The sequence below is a fragment of the Homo sapiens genome, chromosome 6 (assembly GCF_000001405.40).
Source record: "Homo sapiens chromosome 6, GRCh38.p14 Primary Assembly".
NCBI classification, from domain to species: Eukaryota; Metazoa; Chordata; class Mammalia; order Primates; family Hominidae; genus Homo; species Homo sapiens.
In genome coordinates, this window is record NC_000006.12 from 87,780,335 (window position 1) to 87,797,789 (window position 17,455).

Here is a 17,455-nt window from a genome sequence, read left to right on the forward strand (position 1 = left end):
ACACCTTCAGAAAAAGATAACACAGGTGTGGGACAGAAGGCCTCCATGGTAGAATTTAAGGAGACTAATCTTCTGTAGTTGCAGGGAAGACTGCTGAATATTAGGACTAGGATTTAACTGTAAGGGAGGCAGAATTGTAACTTTGGCAATTCTGCTAGCAGCTTTGGCAGGTCTCTCATGTCAAAGTCGGGATTCTGATAGGCAATGAGTGCAACCCTGAGATCTAGGATAGGAATATTTGGGTGCCCAAGCCTGAAAATCTTGAATCTTTCAAATCCTCTTAAACTTTTGGGATGGCAAAAAAAAAAAAAAAAAAAAAATCTCCTTTCTCATTGCTAAGGAGAAGAGCCTCCACTTGCTTGGAGACTATGTATTGAGCTTGCCTGAGGCAGGTGCCTCTGTTCTCAAGAGCCACCCCTGCTACCTCTCATTGCCTGTGGGTCAGTAACAAGGGTCAGGTGTCAGCACAGCTCAAACAGAGATGCAGAGTTCTTGCTCCAGGAGAAAAATATGCACTGGAGGAATTGCTGGATCTGATTAATATGTATGAGCACGGACTAGGGGAACATGAGGGAGTAAATCTTGAGGGAATTGGGCCATGAAGAGCAGAATATAAGTCTGGATAGGGAAGGGTTTACTGGGAACTTATAAACTTGGGGATTCAATATTATATGAAGGACATGTAAGGTCATCTTTTTTATTTTAAGACGGAGCCTCTCTCTGTTGCCCAGGCTGGAGTGCAGTGGTATAATCTCAGCTCATGCAACCTCCCCTCCTGAGTTCAAGCGATTATCCTGCCTCAGCCTCCCAAGTAGCTGGGAGTACAGGCACATGCCACCATGCCTAACTTTTGTATTTTTTAGTGAAGACTGGGTTTCACCATGTTGGTCAGGCTGGTATTGAACTCCTGACCTCAAGTGATCTGCCCACTTTAGCCTCCCAAAGTGCTGGGATTACAGCCGTGAGCCACCGGGCCTGACAAAGGACATGTAAGGCCATCTAAATAATCTGTTTGATGCCCTGAACCAAAGCTGGATACAATAATGAACTGAAGGACCGATGAAGATTTGGTGAAGACACCAAACTGCCTTGGCATGACACTGAGTGGATCTTCAGAAGATCAGGGAAAAAGCTGAACATTCATCCTCTGATTATGTTGCCCTGAGGGCTCTGAGAAGATTCCCTTCATTAAGACAGTAAGGAATTCATCAGTTACAGGAGACCTGTCTTTGAGAAACTCAATGGTGGTCCTCTTCTGTAGGCCATACTGCCATGGAATTGTATCTTATAATATCAATGGGGATGATGGTATTCCAGAATGGTAGAGGTCAGATGTTGGTACTTAGCTATTAGGAGGAAAAAGAGAACTTAACCATCAAAAGAAAGCAAGACTAGAGTGGCAAACAGGTCACCATAGCTTGCAGATTTCTCTAGTGATAGCCTAATAAATCACAGTGTTCTTAGGAATTAGATAGACAGATAGCTAATTAGGATGTAACTCAACTTGCTAATCTAAAAAAAGAATTGAAAGCTGTTAAGTAGAAGGCTAATTTTAGGCACTGCAAAAGAAAACTATGGTCCCTCACCCTGTTGCTAGATTTAAGTAATTCAGAGATCCAGATCCCTTTGTTTGAAGGGGAGAACAAGTCTTTTTGTGGAAGGACTTTATAACACAAGTGGATAGGTAAATATTTCCCTCTCTCCTTTTGTGGAGAGACCTGTAGACATTTGTCAGAGTAACTACACTGGGAAAAAGAGAAGACTCAGATTCAAAGATTTTTAGATAAGAGATTTAGGTGGACACTGATACCAGGGAACCCCAAACTCTGTCATGGACCTGCAGACAGTGTGTGTGCTTTTAGGGACCATGTGTTAAATGGACTTCTGGCCCAAATCTATCTCATAGTGGGTCCAATGGGTCTGTGAACCAATCTTGTTATTTCTCAGTTCCTGAGGGCATTAGAGATATACTTAGCACTAGAAGAATCCTCATAGTTGTTCCCTAATCAGTAGAGTTTGCGCCATTAGAACTTTAAAAAGGCCAAGTGGAAGCTTCTGAAACTATTCCTCCCCACTGTTCTGCCCCATCAGACAAGATTATAAATCAGAAGCATAGTACATGCCAGAAGGAATTGCAGAGATTGGCACCACTATGAAAGACCTAAAAGATACAGTTGTTATGGTTACCATCATTTCCTGCTTTCATTTTACCTGCATGGTTCCTGCAAAATCTGGATGGATCATGGCAGAGTGTAGACTTCCATAGACTTAACTGGGTATTAATCCCAACTATACCTGCTCTCCTGTATATGGTATCTTTACTGATTCAGATCAACCCAACCTCTAGCACTTGATAAGCAGCTATTGATCTAGTGAATTCATACTTCTCAATCCCCTTAAAAGGAAAGATCAAAAGTAATTCACCTTCATGGGAAGAACAGCACTACACATTCATGTCCTTGCCCCCAGGACTATGTAAATTCTTTTGCTTTCTATTTTAGGGGCTTCAGTCATGTTGACAATCATCAGATCACCATATGGCATCTTACTAAATGGACCTGATGAACAAAGAGTGGCAAGTACCAATGCCCTAGTAGAATCATGTGTACCAGAGAGTGGGAGATAAATCTCATGAATATTCAGGGAATTGCTACATTGGTGAAGTTTGTAGGGATCCAGTGGTCTGGAACATGCCAGGTCATCCCTTCCAAGATAAAAAATGAGAGGTTGCACCTCACACCTGCTACCACTAAGAATGAGGCACAATTCTTGTCTCCCTAGCAGCTTTGCCCTTTAGTAACAGGAGATAAATGTATTTTTAAAATTATCTCAGTGGCCCTCTGGCTTTCAAAACAAGCTTTGAATTGGTAGTAGTTTGTCCTGAGTCTATCATTTTCTTTTTTGAAGGCTTTTGATTCTGTTAATAGCAGTAAGGCCATTCCACAATTTTCAGTCATAACTGCTCCCATACTTTTTAAGTACCACAGCCATTGCATATCCCATTGCCTCACCTTCTAGCTCCACCTAATATCAATTAATTTCAGGTGAAAGACAGTACTTGCGATATCATTGCACATTGGGAACTTCCACCCCACTTACCGCTAATACTGGAAACCCTATTGCTTTCAGAGCTCTGAGTAATCTAGTACCAAAATCTCATCCTAAGGGTCTGCTCTCAAGGGTCACCCCTTGATACCAACTGTCTGATAGGCAGGATTCTAAGATGATTCCCAATGACTCTTGCTTTTGTATAATCCTCTTCCCTTCAAGTGTGAGGGTGTATGTTACATTATATGGCCAAAGGGATTTTGCTAACGTGATTAAAATTCCAAGTCAGTGGAGCTTAAGATAGGGTGATTATCCAGGTGGTCCTGAACTGATCACGTGAGTCATTTAAATCTGGGTCTAGGGGTCAGACGCCGAGAGAGGTAAGAGAGTTTTTTTTTTTTTTGCTACAGAGTTTTGCTCTTGTTGCCCAGACTGGAGTGCAATGGTGCAATCTCTGCTCACTGCAACCCAGGTTCAAGTGATTCTCCTGCCTCAGTCTCCTGGGTAGCTGGGATTACAGGCATCCGCCACCATGCACGGCTAATTTTTTGTATTTCTTTTTTTTTTTTTTTTTGGTAGAGACAGAGTTTCACCGTGTTGGCCAGAGTGGTCTCGAACTCCTGACCTCAGGTGATCCACCCACTTTGGCCTCCCAAAGTGCTGGGATTATAGGCATGAGCCACCATGCCTGGCCAGGATAAGAGATTGGAAGCATAAGAATGATTCAATGTGCCATTGCTGGCTGTGAAGATGGAGGGGGTCATGTGATAAAGAATGCAGGTAGCCTCTGGGAGCTGAGAACAGGCCCCAGCTGACAGACAGCAAGGAAATGGCAACCTTTACCCTACAACTGCAAGGAATTGAACTCTGCCCAAACCAGGTGAGCTTGGAAGAGGATTCTAAACTCCTGATGAGAACACAACTCAGCCTACACCTTGGTTTCAGTCTTATGTGAACCTGAGCTATAAACCCAACTGCACTGGGGTAGAATGACCTACAGAATTGTGACCTGACTAATAAACAGGGATTGTTTTCCACAACAAAGTTTGTGGTAATTTGTTACCAGCAATAAGAAAACGAATACATTCTGAGCTTTTGTTGCTTAGAAAGCAGTGCCTGAGGCCAAGGCTTATGTGCTACAACTTAATTAGGGAGGGCAATTCCCTAGTAGGGATCGGGAATTAGGGAAAAGTAGAGTGAGGCAGGGAAGGAGGGAAATGCAATTGGAGGATAGCTATTAAGAACAACTGATCCCTTGATCTTGGGGAACTGTTATTGAAAGGGATATATATGATTGCTTCTCAGGACAGTCCTCTGATGTGTTAAAGGGAGAATTAGTTGTTGGCTCCTGTTTCCCTTTGGTCAAAGAATCTTTCCAGTGGGTGTTAATCCTCCTGCACTCCCTGAATGTACATATGCAGACATACCCAGCATCAACGGGAAAGCTGCGGGACAGGATGTCAGAGGTGTGCATGAAGTGAGGTGCTATTGGCATGCACTGAGTGAAGTTGGTTGAAATTTACACAGAGTTGGCTGCCACAATATGGGCTGAGCTGGAACAAGAGGTCAGAGGCCACAGAGAAAGGTAAGGCTGAGAGGATCTGAAGTGGCAAATAACAGGTGACTCTTATGTTGGAATGGTCTCTTGTTGTTCCTTTTTAATGTGGAGAAAGCTGAAGAAGTGGTTAAAGTTTTGTTATATTTTGCTTTGACCTAATACTTTGACAGAGATCATCAACTGCAGTTGCAAAATCCATCATGATATTTGCTGTAAACAGGATATCTAATTCAGCTGGAGCATCTCCATAAAGATTGTTCTAGGCCTCTCTGGGGATCTTCAATGTCCCAGGGCAAACTCTTCACTGTCAACTCTTTTCTGAGTGAGTATGATAGTTTTCTTTTGGAATTTTTATTTTTTCCAAACCTGGTTTCATGATTTTTAAATTTTCTGTAGTGTTTGATTTGGAGTGTCTAAAGGGTTAGATACAACCTTTGATCTATAAGGCATTCTCCAAGAGTAAACATAGATTTGTAATAACCCTTTTGAAGTTCAAATTATGTGGTTTTGGCCTGTGCTTTCTTTGAAGAGTCTCCATTTCCCCCTTAATCTCTGTGCCCAGCAAAGGGATAAACCTTCTTCTTGTGGTTGTTATTATCACAGAGAATAAATTTTCCAGATGTTGCTCTGCAGATTTCCCCTCATGTTTTCTTGGCTAGAACAGTATCACCTTTTTACTCTTAGCTGCAAGAGAGGCTGTGAATGGCAGTATCTAACATTTTCACAGCCTCTTACGGGAGGCAGGTTTGGTGAAAAAGAGGAAAGGAATGGTTGTAGGAAAGGCAACCCAGCAATTTCCCTTCCTGCCTCGTTAATTTCAATCAGTCTTGTCTCCCTGAGACTTTGCCCTAGTTACCTTGACTAAGACTAGAGAGAGTGGATCTTCTCAACCATACATTTACAGACCAATTACAGGACAGGTGATTTCTATTCGTGGTTCATCTCATCTGTTATGTGTTGATTCCTACTAGGGTCACTCTCAGAGGGTGACGTTACTGTCAAGTTCAGGGAGTACCTTTCTCTCCCCTAAACATTGATTAAGATAGGGGTCAAAAGTCCGGGCACAGTTGCTCATGCCTGTAATCCCAGCACTTTGGGAGGCCGAAGTGGGCAGATCACCTGAGGTCAGGAGTTTGAGACCAGCCTGGCTAACATGGTGAAACCCCGTTTGTACTAAAAATACAAAAAATTAGCCGGCTGTGGTGGCGTGCGCCTGTAATCCCAGATACTTGGGAGGCTGAAGCAGGAGAATCACTTGAACCCGAGAGGTGGAGGTTGCAGTGAGCCAAATCACGCCATTGCACTCCAGCTTGGGTAAGAAGAGCAAAACTCCATCTCAAAAAAAAAAAAAAGATAGGGGTCGGAAATCTGACCTCGGCAATTTTAAAACAGCTCTGAGTTTGAGTTTCTATTGTGTTTTGAGTTTGAACCCCCTACAGCCACTTTACATATTTGTTACTTGTTTGACTCATGAAGCATTTGAGCCTGCAACTTCTGGGAAAGAAATCAACTGCAAATTCACTGGGTAAATTGCATATGAGGGAATACAGATTAATATTCCAGAATAGAGAAATTTACTCCTTAAAGTACCAAACATTTCTAATTTTAATTTTCTTGAAAACATATCTTTCCCCTTTTGTTTCTCCTCTACATGGTAAGGTTTTACAGGAATATTTAAGTCAGACATTTCCATTATGGTTTTTTGCTTCTTCCTTCTGTCCTTGCATCTATAGTTTCTTCTTTCAATTTGCTGCACCATCCGCTTTGGCTTTAGAAAAAGGATCACTGAGCTTGAAGGAGTTTTGTCTAAAATAAAAGTAAGTGGTATCTGACTTGTGGATTCCTTTGTTTCCCAACAGTGTCTGTCTAGGACACCTGCTAAGTCACCTATGTTTGTATTTGATCTCACCACTGTCTAGAAGAGACTCTCTTTGGAAAGATCCAAGGAAGAGGGAAACCTTTGAGAACTTTGAATCAGCAGCCTCTATTTCTGATTTTAATACCTTATTTGACGAAGGCCTAGAGACACTTTGTCACACAGGCAGTTAGTGGAAGAGGTGGGAGGGAACTGAGGTCTTTGGTTTATTCCATGCAGGTGAAGATAAACCTCTTTGGATAGCCTTCCCTGTTTCTCCCACATCAAGTGGAAGACCCATGGGAAAAAGGCAGGATTCTGTCTTGTTCACAGCCACATTCACAACACCCTAAATTCACATATCGGGTACTCAGGAATGATTGGATGACTCAATACTATATTTTCCAGGTTCCTTTCTTTTTGGTATATTCTTACTCTCACTATGTTCTTCTAAACTGGGTTTTGTTGTGAGGGCATACTTGTGAGGAGCAAAGGACTATGAAAATTAAAGCCTTTGCAAGTGAATATCTTTGTATGCTATTACTGCATCAGGACAGAATTCAAGGAGCAGAATATGGGAGTGTTGATCTGAACCTGAATAAACCTGGAGAATCATACTATGGAGGATAAGAAGGGACAAGAAAAAGAGAACACTAGGGCAGGAAGATGTCTTGGCGGGACAGGGGAGTCAAGGCATTTTTTGTAGAGCAACCCCAATGAGAAAATACTTTCTCGTTGGGGATGGGGTAGGGTGAGAACACTCTCTCTACTGTTTATCTTTCCCTGTGGAAGAACTTGTTAGAGTTGTACTCTTGGCCTCTCTCCATCCCTGGAAGGAAAAACTGAGCTTGCTCTATACAGCCTCTTCTTTTCTCTCTTAAAGACCCTCCTGCCTATTCTGCTCTCTGTTGTGTTTTAAGGGGCCTGCCTTTGAGGAACAGGCATGTGGTGGGCCTTGTCTTAAGTCAGAGGTAAAGCCATAGAAGCCTGCTGTGGCCATTCATCAAAGCCATGTTCTACTATCCATGCTCTTACTGGTAACCAAATTGATGTTCTGATCTCCATCTGTCTGATTTCTATGTCTATTTCTCAGGTGGTTCCAAACTTGCAAACCAACTTAGAATTTTTTCTTTTTTTGAGATGGAATCTCATTCTGTCGTCCAGGCTGGAGCGCAGTGGCGCAATCTCAGCTCACTGCAACCTCCGCCTCCTGGGTTCAAGCCATTTTCCTGCCTCAGCCGCTGGAGTAGCTGGGACCACAGGCACCCGCCACCATGCCTAGCTGATATTTGTATCTTTAGTAGAGATGGGTTTTCACCATGTTGGCCAGGCTGGTCTCGAACTCCTGACCTCAGGTGATCCGCCTGCCTGGGCCTCCCAAAGTGCTGGGATTACAGGAGTGAGCCACCGTGCCCAGCAGAATTTCTTAAAATCCCTTAAAACCTGTCAGTGTATGTTTTGGCTGCTCTCCTTGTTGTCTGAGAAGCTGGAATTTCTTGTTTTAAGACAGAATTATGGTAATTATTATCATTTATTGAGAACAGGTCAGGGACCATGCTAAACATTTTATGAATATTATGTTGTTGAATCATTTCGGCAATCCTAAGAAGTAGATACTATTATCATCCCATTTTGTAGGTAAACCAGCAATTTTAGAAGGTTAAGAATTTTTCTGCATTCAGCATGGCTAGTAAGCAGTGGAACCAGGTTTTGAGCCCACTGTTTTCTGATTCTTCTGTTCTTAGCTACCAGCCTATAATGTCTCCCACAGCTTTTCAAATAAAGAACTGTGAAGAGAGAAAAATGTTTTGGAAGAAGGAAAGAAAGCTCTGCAAAAGGCAATGTGGGCTAAGATAGGGTATTCTCAGGCAAGAAAGATTGTCTTCTAGAACCCACTGGTCCAATTTGGTCCATTTGTATGAATGTACTCTTTGCACTTACTTCAAGGTTGAGCATTCTGTGAAAGAAAACTTTGGGCTCATGTTCACTCCAGGGAATGGTTTAGGTTTCAGGGTGGTTTCTTTTGTTTTTCCGTGTATCCCCCTGATCCTCTTTTTTTCCTCTTTCTTTTTTTTGCCTCCATAATCTTTGGTCTGGTGTTGACCCTCAATAAGCCACCCTGGCTAATTCATGCTAGTTCTCTGTGCTTTGGACACCTTGTAAAACCTTACTGTGGCGAAGTTTCTCCATTTGTAAAATGTAGCAGGATTGGTAATACTGATTTCCTTATCTTAGCGTGAGTTAAGATTAATTATATACATTTTGCAGCATACTTTGAAAGTATGTGATTAGGTGCTAAAATTTGTGTTTGTACAGATTTAAGTATTTTTGTAGCACATACCCATTTAAATTTAAGGAGTATTTTTATTTTTCTAATGGCTTCTTTAAAATATTTTAAAATCAGTTGCATAATTCTGACAAGTGGGATCTTCTGAATAAATCTCAATTCTAATTTCCCTTTCCCATGATTGTAAACTGTGGGACATTTGTAATAATCTTTGCTGAGTCAGTTTCCTTGGGGGAGGGATTTGTTTCATTTCAAAACATCCTAACAAAACTCCAGCCCATTGACAAGCAGTAACTTGCAAACTAGGGTCGTTGCCCAGGGAGCAGGGAGGGATCACAGACACAGGCAGGAGGAGAAGGGTTATGGTGTTGGAAAATGCTACCTGGAGGTTGCCAAAGATGGACCAGGTGGGAAAACTGCACAGCAATTCACATACCTTGAGCAAATCCAGCAGGCAGTAGGAAACAATAAAAAAGGAGGAATCCTCTCCAGGGACAGGATAAAGGATGGGTAAAAGCAAAGCTGGGAGGATTGGTTAATAAAGATTCGAACTTTCATCTGGACTCATGTTTTCCTGCTTTGTTCAATAAAGTAATTATTAAGCCTCTGATGAGTGTGGAGAGGTGGAGAGGCTCAACAGAAAGCAATGAGTCACTCCTGGGAGCTGTTGGGGAAGGTCATCTTTGAGACAGTAGGAACCTGGGAGGGGCAATCTCATGATCCTGTAGAGAATTGCAACAAGTTTTGCAACTGCCCCACATCTCCCCAACCCTTGGGTTTCTATGGTATTGCTCTGTATTCCAGCTAGTGTCACCAAATGATTAGCCTGGTTCTTTGTTAACCTTTATCCTAACCTTCAAGTCTGCTAAAGTGAAGATTTGTTTAAGGCTAGAGGCAAAGACATAAAATTTCTCTAGACTTCCCAAATACCATTTAACTTTTCTAAAATATTTGAATGTGACTGAGTAGTTGCACAGCAACTAAAACCTTCCCATCACAACCCCCACCTCGTCTTCCTTCCATTCTCCCTATATCCAGTAGTTTAACTCCCTGGGTAAGAACTTACTGAGATTTATTTTCACAAAGTCATAGCATTTAGCCGGTAATTCGTTCTAGCTTTTTGAGCATCTGCTAATATGTGGTGGGAGATCTTAAATTCAACAGACTCATTTTTAATGAATGTCAAATAGGAACTAATCTGTCATGATTACATTATTTATTTTCTAGGAGAGACAGCAATTTGTCATGTAGATAAGTACATCCCTCTCTTTATCAAGAGAGGGAAACAGATGAGCAGGTTTTTTTTGTTTGTTTGTTTTTTACATTCTCAGTAAACAAAGAGACCTTGGGATTTGGATCTTTTCCCTCTTCTATTTTTTTTTATCATCTCAACTTGCCTAAATTTAACTAAGTTGCCCTTCAAAATTTTTTTTTATCAAAATGTAAGTAGGAATTTAAAAATTAATGAGAAAACAAAATGATGTGGTTCTGAATAAAAATGAGGAAGAGCTGAATGTGGAGGGGTTAGCAGGGCTGTTTAATTGACCCCCATACGCAAGTGCTGTTGATAGAAATACAACATGAGACACATATAGAATTTTAAATTATATAGTAGCCGCATTAAAGAAGTAAATGAAATAGGTGAACTTGACTTGAATAATATATTTTATTTAACTCAATATATCTAAAATATTATTTCAACATGTAATCAATATAAAACTATTAATAAGGTATTTTACATAGTTTTTGTACTGTCTTCGAAATTTGATGTGTATCTTCCATGTACAGTGTAATCTCAATTCAGACTAGCTACATTTCAGATCTCAACATTCACAAGTTGCTCGTGATCCCCATATTGGACCCCTAATTCTGGGAAATTATCAATTCCGTTTCATGGTGGTATTTCACTGGATTTGCTTTGGAACTCAGAGCCTGGATCTCTTATGAAAAGCCAGGCTTTGCTTGTGTATTTTAAAAGCAAACTGTTAGTTTCCTTCTTAACTTTAATCTTCATTTCCTCTTGGCTCAGCACACTTGAAATAATATTCTAGAAACCCATACTGGGTGAAAGGGGTTAGGGGAAACTGGATTGTGTCAGGGAAAGGTTCAAAGCCAGGCTCCCTAAATGGATGCCTCTCTGTTTAGACTGGACATTTCTTTCTCATGTGGGAGGTCCTCCAGCTGGTCTACTGTAGAAAAAAAAATGTTTATAATGTAACAAAGTCTAAGCTTTAGTTCCTAGTCTGAGCACAATAATTCACATTAGATAGTTAATAGAAAAATAACACTTTCACACTTGATTCTTCAAGAGCAGTATTCTTTTCTCACATAAAGTTGCACTTTACTGGTAGTGACGATGGCATGGAGTGAAGGCTCCTTGTCCCGTGAGAGTTGGTGGAGTGACCTAACACGAGTTAGACCACAGGGTCTTCACTGCACCCAGTTATCCAGAATTCAGGAAAGTGGGGGAATCCCTGACTCTCTGGCTCCATTCCCTTTTCTGAACTTTAACTTCTAGGCAGGGAGCCCTAAGTCTTTCTTCTTTTACCCCCACCCTCATCAGGTACAGGATGCTTGTTCCAAATTTTTGAGCACCTGTTGATCACCTAGAGTGTAATTTCCGCAGCTTGGCAGACAGCTGTGCTGTAGGTGAGTGAGTCCTTTGCTTAAAGTCCAAAGATCTAATTTCTATTTTTTTTTTTTTTTGAGACAGAGTTTCACTGTTGTTGTCCAGGCTGGAGTGCAATGGCACGGTCTCGGCTCACTGCAACCTCTGCCTTCCGGGTTCAAGCGATTTTCCTGCCTCAGCCTCCCGAGTAGCTGGGATTATAATTATAGGCGCCCGCCACCAGGCCTGGCTAATTTTTTTTTTTTTTTTGTATTTTTAGTAGAGATGGGGTTTTACCATGTTGGCCAGGCTGGTCTTGAACTCCTGACCTCAGGTGATCTGCCCGCCTCGGCCTCCCGAAGTGCTGGGTGGCAAAGTGAGCCACCCGAGCCCGGCCTAAGCTTTTGTTTCTATATTTGTAGAGTGGTAGGAATGCTTATCTCACAGGGCTGTTGGAAGGATTAAATGAGGTGATGCGTGTGAAAGCATTTTAGAATCTGTAAAACTATACACACTTCAGTTGTTAATAGTGTTGTGGCAAGGTTCCAAGATATATTCCTGCTGAATTCCCTGGCCATTCCAACTCTTTTTTAAGCTCGTGGAGGTGCTTAACCCCACCCTATCCTGAATCTCAGCTCTGTCAGATTTGTTCACTCCTTTTCCAACTGTCTGGTCCCATAATCCTTATTAAGTGGACAGTGGCCCACATGATCACACACCTGTCCACACTGAGGGCTGGGGCAGACACTTAACCCGAGCTGGGCCATGTAAATTTTTCCTATCTAGATATGGAAATTGGGACCAAAGGAGTTTATTAATCACTTAAGTTGTCCAATTTGGGCAACATAGTGAGACCGTGTCTCTATAAAAACAAAAAATTAGCCAGATATGGTGGTGCAAGCCTGTAGTCCCAGCTACTCAGGAGGCTGAGGTGAAAGGATTGCTTGAGCCCAGAAGGTCGAGGCTGCAGTGAGCCAGGATTGTGCCACTGTACTCCAGCCTGGACAACAGAGCAAGGCCCTGTCTCAAATAAAACAAAAACAAAAACAGAAACTTGAATTTGAATGGTTTAGAATTTCAGTTCTCAAAATGTGGTCCATGGGCCCCTGGGGACCCCAAGACTCTTTCATGGGGTCCAAGAAGTTAAAACCATTTTGATAACAAGGCTAAGAGGATATCTGCCTTTTTTTTTTTTTTTTTTAAAGATGGAGTCTCACTCTGTCACCCAGGCTGGAGTGCAGTGGTGCCATCTTGGCTCACTGCAACCTCTGCCTTCTGGGTTCAAGCGATTCTCCTGTCTCAGCCTCCCGAGTAGCTGGGATTACAGGCACATGCCACCACGCCTGGCTAATTTTTGTATTTTTAGTAGAGACAGAGTTACACCATGTTGGCCAGGCTGGTCTCGAATGCCTGACCTTGTGATCCACCCACCTTGGCCTCCCAAAATGCTGGGATTACAGGTGTGAGTCATCGCGCCTGGCCGCCTTTTTTTTTTAAGTGTGCTTTTTCACATATGGAATAACAGCAGTGATGGGGAATACTGCTGGCATCTTAGCATGAATCAAGGCAATAGCACTTACTGTGGTTGTTACATTTCTCACTACCATGCACTCACAGTAAGAAAAAATAAGGAAAAAATAAAAGCAAAAGCCAGTGTTACTTAATAATGTCCCTGATGAAGCAGTAAAAATAATTAATTTCATTAAAACTTGACTTTTGGGTACATGTCTTTTTCACATTCTGTGTGATGAAATGGAAAAAATGCATACATCATATCTACTGCATGCTGAAGTAGGCAATTGTCTGGGAAAACCACTTAAGTAATTGCTTGCGTGGTGAACTAAAACTAATGGCTTTTTTTCAAGGAGTACCATTACTACTTGACTGCACAAACTATGATGTCTCAAACCAGGTATTTGGCAGACATTTTCTTGAAAATGAACCAGATTATCCTGTCACTTCAAGAAAAACAACCAACAACATTTTTTTTCTGTGCCAATGTTAGAATTTGTGTTTCCAAACGAAAACTAGAATTTTGTAAAACTTGTATCTGTCACTGTGAGCTTGATAGCTTTTCAATACTTAAAGACCTTTCTGAAGGGATCAGTGGTGATATCAACAAATGAGATTTAAGAAATATATTTGTATAAAATGTGTCAACATTAGGAAGATGAGATGTATAACTCAGTGAACCAATATTTTATGAATGACAAATGTGCAGGTTAAAGATCTAATCAAAGTGCAAGACAGACTAGCGGATTTTAATGTTATGGTAAAAAAGACAATTTCTTTTATATGAATTCAGATTCCACATTGCAATTAAACTTTAAGAAACTACCACATGTTGAGTTTTGGTGTATTGTCAAAAATTATCCACAAATACTTTACTCTTTTTAAGCTACATTTCTCTGTGAGACTGAATTTTCTTTATATACTTCAACTGAAATAGTATATCACAACAGATTGAATGTAGAAGCAGATGTAGGGATTCAATTGTCATTTATTAAGCAAGCCACTAAAGGGATTTTCAAAAATGTCAAAAAAATTTCATTGTCACTATAATTTTTTGTTTATTTTGGAAAAACAAATCAGATGTGGGCATCTATGTTTGGCTCATGCATGTGCAAATGAAGAGAGGATGCTAGTATTTTCAGAGTGAGAGAGAAGAGAGAGAAGACAGAAGCAGAGATGAAAGAACATGTGGAGAGAGAGAGAACAAAAATAAGCTTTGGTTCCTAATATCTGTACCTGGTTCTTGTCTCTCTTGAGGCCTGGCTGTGTTGCCCAATTTAGAGTTCTAGGAAATTTCCATGTATTTTTCCAATAAACTCTCTTTTTATTTAAACTTATTTAAAAGGGATATATATATATATATAATTTAATTTAATTTTTTTTTTTTTGAGACAGAGTCTTGTTCTGTCACCCATGCTGGAGTGCACTGCTCAGTCTCAGCTCACTGCAACCTCCACCTCCTGGGTTCAAGCGATTCTGCTGCCTCAGCCTCCTGAGTAGCTGGGATTACAGGCACACGCCACCGCACCCGGCTAATTTTTGTATTTTTAGTAGAGACGGGGTTTCACCATGTTGGCCAGGCTGGTCTCAAACTTCTGACCTCAAGTGATCCACCCACATCAGCCTCTCAAAGTGCTGGGATTACAGGTGTGAGCCACTGCAGCTGGTCTCTTTTCTTCCCTGTTTGGCTTGCTGTTCCTGAAGGGTAGAGACTTTTGATTACTTTAGACCCCACAATGTGTAGTCCCTACTCAGTTTGCAGTAGCTGAAGAATGAGTGAGTAGCTCTGCCTGAGGGAGCTGAGGAAGGCATCCTGAAGGATGATCAGGCATTTGTCAGGCAGATGACGGGGAAGACATTCTAAGGAAAAAGCTTGGGTGAGTTCAGGAGTCTGCTTCGCCCTTATGGGTGTGGTCATGCTTAAGGACAGAGGAAGCACGCAGTGGCATTCACTTTTGCCCTGGAGGTTATCTGAGCAGAGAGAATATCTCACAAACTAATGCCAAGGCCACTTCTCTATTGTCTATGGGTTAATGCCAGCCCTGTTAGGGACTATCCAGTGAATTAAAAAAGCCCTGCCAACCCCAGGCGAGGGTTGGGAAGCAGTGTTAGTAGCACCTGGGGGTCTGGGGATGACTCATCGCACAGGTATCATTAACCCCCATTCATTCACTCGTTAATGAAGAAATAAGAGCAGGAATTTGGCAGAGGGACAGTTCTAGACTCAAGTCCATCTCTCACTCTAACTGGCTCAGTGATCTTAAGCAGGCATCTAACTTTTTTGAGCCTCCGTTTCTTTACCATTTCTATAAAATGGTAATAATAACACCTTGGAGGCTGGTTTTACGAGTTAAATATGATCATATACATTAAGCATATGTATAGTAACTGGTACAGCTTAGAGATTAAGGCATGCTAATTCCCTTTCTTCTTCTCTACAAACATTTGGAGGAGCTACTGACTACAAGGCATTATGCCAGGCAGGGAGGAAACAAAGGTAAATCCATTGTACACGGATTATGTCCTCTGGGAGCCTGCAGCCCAGTAATGGAGGAGATAAAGTCAATGGTAAGTGCACAGATAGTTACAACACAAGACAGAGAGCGTGAGGTACCATGAGAGGTGGAACCAAGATTGCAACGGGAAGGCCATGTCTATGCCCTATGTGTCTGCTTGTGAACTGACCTTCTTCATGGTTGGCAGTGCCCCTTACTGGATTAAAGGATGTTCTATGTTGTTTGTTACAACATGTTGGTGTCTTTAATTTGGAAGTTAAAAGAAAAAATAACAGAAAGGAGTTTTTGCTTCTATGAGGAAGGGGTACTTTATCAAAATTACCCAACACCATCCCTGAACTACGGGTGAGGACAAACCTGGCTCCCCCAATCTTTGCTGGAGAGCCGAAGCCTCTTCGGGTCCCATTGGGTCCAAGTGCAGCAGAACCTGGCTCTTTGGATCAGCGACATTAATCTGCTTTGTTTTATCTGCGGTGTCACAAAGTTTAGTTGAATGATCTGATAGAAAGTACAAACCGGCCGGGTGCAGTGGCTCACACCTCTAATCCTAGCACTTTGGGAGGCCGAGGTGGGCGGATTGCCTGAGCTCAGGGTTTTGAGACCAGCCTGAGCAACATGGTGAAACCCCCTCTCTACTAAAAGACAAGAGAAACTAGCCGGGCATGGCGGCGTGTGCCTGTAGTCCCAGCTACTCAGGAGGCTGAGGCAGGAGAATTACTTGAAACCGGGAGGCGGAGGTTGCAGTGAGCCGAGATCGCACCACTGCACCACTCCAGCCTGGGCAACAGAGCGAGACTCCGTCTCTAAAAAAAAAAGAAAGTACAAACCACAGCCTGACTCTGAGAATAACTGGGAGGAATCCCCTGCTGTCACACACTGGGAATCAGAGCGGCACATCCTGCCCTTGCAGGGCCCTGAGGCTCTAAAAGCAACATGTTCCAATTGGAAGCATATATTCTGCAAGGGTTTGTCTCCAGGCAGCGCTACAGCCTCCTCTTCTGGCACCATAGAGACTGTTGCTTCTGTCAGGATTTCTGGCACCAGCAAAAGTGAAAGGGAACAGGACCAACTACGCTTCCCTGAGCAAGGTGGATCTTCTGGGCAGCACCTTGGTGAGAATACACACCACTGAGCAGCCTAGACTGGTGCTGATTAGGTGAAGGGTGGGCGGCCAGAAGGACAGATTTTCATGTGTGTGTGTGTGTGTGTGTGTGTGTGTGTGAGTGAGAAACATAACTCAATGCTTCATCTCCCCTGCCTACATTACATTCACACTTTGTGAATCTGACAGCCTGTGGGTTTGGGCTGTATTTGCAGCTTTATTAGGCATTGCAGCAACTGAACAGGCTTTTCTTCTTCTTCCTTTTTTTTTTTTTTCTTTGAAACTACAGTTTCCCCTAGCTTGTGTTAAAATTCTCAGACTTTTCTTTTTTTAACCCCCTCCCCTTTTTAAAAGTTGTGAAATATGGTAGAGTGACTGAAAAGATTAGAGAATAAATGTACAGCAGAATGAAGGGAACACCCTGATGACTATCATTCTGATCAAGAATAGAGCATCTCTAGCTCCCAGAACACATCCCTCCTCCATACACCCCTTCCCTGTCACACCCCCACTCTGCCCCGATTTTACTTTTTCTTCCATTTAAAGATGTGTATGTATGTATGTATTTATTTATATTTATTATTATTTTTTTAAAGTGGAGATTCGCTTTTTGCCCAGGCTGGAGTGCAATGGCATGATCTCGACTCACTGCAACCTCCACCTCCTGGGTCCAAATGATTCTTCTCCCTCAGCCTCCTGAGTAGCTGGGTTTACAGGCACGCACCACCATGTCCGGCTAATTTTGTATTTTTGGTAGAGATGGGGTTTCACCATGTTGGCCAGGCTGGTCTCGAAGTCCTGACCTCAGGTGATCCACCCCCCTCAGCCTCCCAAAGTGCTGGGATTACAGTCATGAGCCACTGTGCCCGGCCTTGAATTTTTTATACAGTTAAAATGCATGTCCATTTTTGGGAAAAAATACATAAAATACAGACTATTGATGAAAAATATATCACCCATGATTTTTCC

The 17,455-nt window shown here is 42.1% G+C and overlaps 1 long non-coding RNA gene across 1 annotated transcript in view, besides 6 other annotated features; it reads left to right on the top strand.

Moving 5' to 3' along the window:
• The first annotated feature begins 4,525 nt into the window (after positions 1–4,525).
• LOC101928911 (uncharacterized) overlaps positions 4,526–17,455 on the top strand; it is a 126,872-nt gene continuing 113,942 nt past the window's right edge. Inside the window, exons 1-2 of the long non-coding RNA NR_110869.1 lie at positions 4,526–4,633; positions 4,777–4,928. This is a non-coding gene — a long non-coding RNA (uncharacterized LOC101928911). The remainder of the gene's footprint in view (positions 4,634–4,776; positions 4,929–17,455) is intronic.
• Positions 4,995–5,139: an enhancer, noted in NCBI's record as "145 bp enhancer 167 fragment used in the MPRA reporter construct; PK_construct_901". NCBI's record gives its function as "activates an SV40 promoter by MPRA in HepG2 cells {active_cell/tissue: HepG2}" and the evidence as "EXISTENCE:reporter gene assay evidence [ECO:0000049][PMID:23512712]".
• Positions 5,061–5,072: a transcriptional cis regulatory region, noted in NCBI's record as "FOXA motif; enhancer activity is reduced when this motif is scrambled". NCBI's record gives its function as "necessary for full MPRA enhancer 167 activity {active_cell/tissue: HepG2}" and the evidence as "EXISTENCE:site-directed mutagenesis evidence [ECO:0005528][PMID:23512712]".
• Positions 15,537–16,038: an enhancer, noted in NCBI's record as "H3K4me1 hESC enhancer chr6:88505589-88506090 (GRCh37/hg19 assembly coordinates)". NCBI's record gives its function as "activates a minimal SCP1, AML or CMV promoter by ChIP-STARR-seq in naive H9 embryonic stem cells {active_cell/tissue: H9 hESC(naive)}" and the evidence as "EXISTENCE:reporter gene assay evidence [ECO:0000049][PMID:30033119]".
• Positions 16,039–16,538: an enhancer, noted in NCBI's record as "H3K4me1 hESC enhancer chr6:88506091-88506590 (GRCh37/hg19 assembly coordinates)". NCBI's record gives its function as "activates a minimal SCP1, AML or CMV promoter by ChIP-STARR-seq in primed H9 embryonic stem cells {active_cell/tissue: H9 hESC(primed)}" and the evidence as "EXISTENCE:reporter gene assay evidence [ECO:0000049][PMID:30033119]".
• Positions 16,039–16,592: a biological region, named in NCBI's record as "H3K4me1 hESC enhancer GRCh37_chr6:88506091-88506590".
• Positions 16,493–16,592: an enhancer, noted in NCBI's record as "active region_24809". NCBI's record gives its function as "activates an Ori minimal core promoter by ATAC-STARR-seq in GM12878 lymphoblastoid cells {active_cell/tissue: GM12878}" and the evidence as "EXISTENCE:reporter gene assay evidence [ECO:0000049][PMID:35858748]".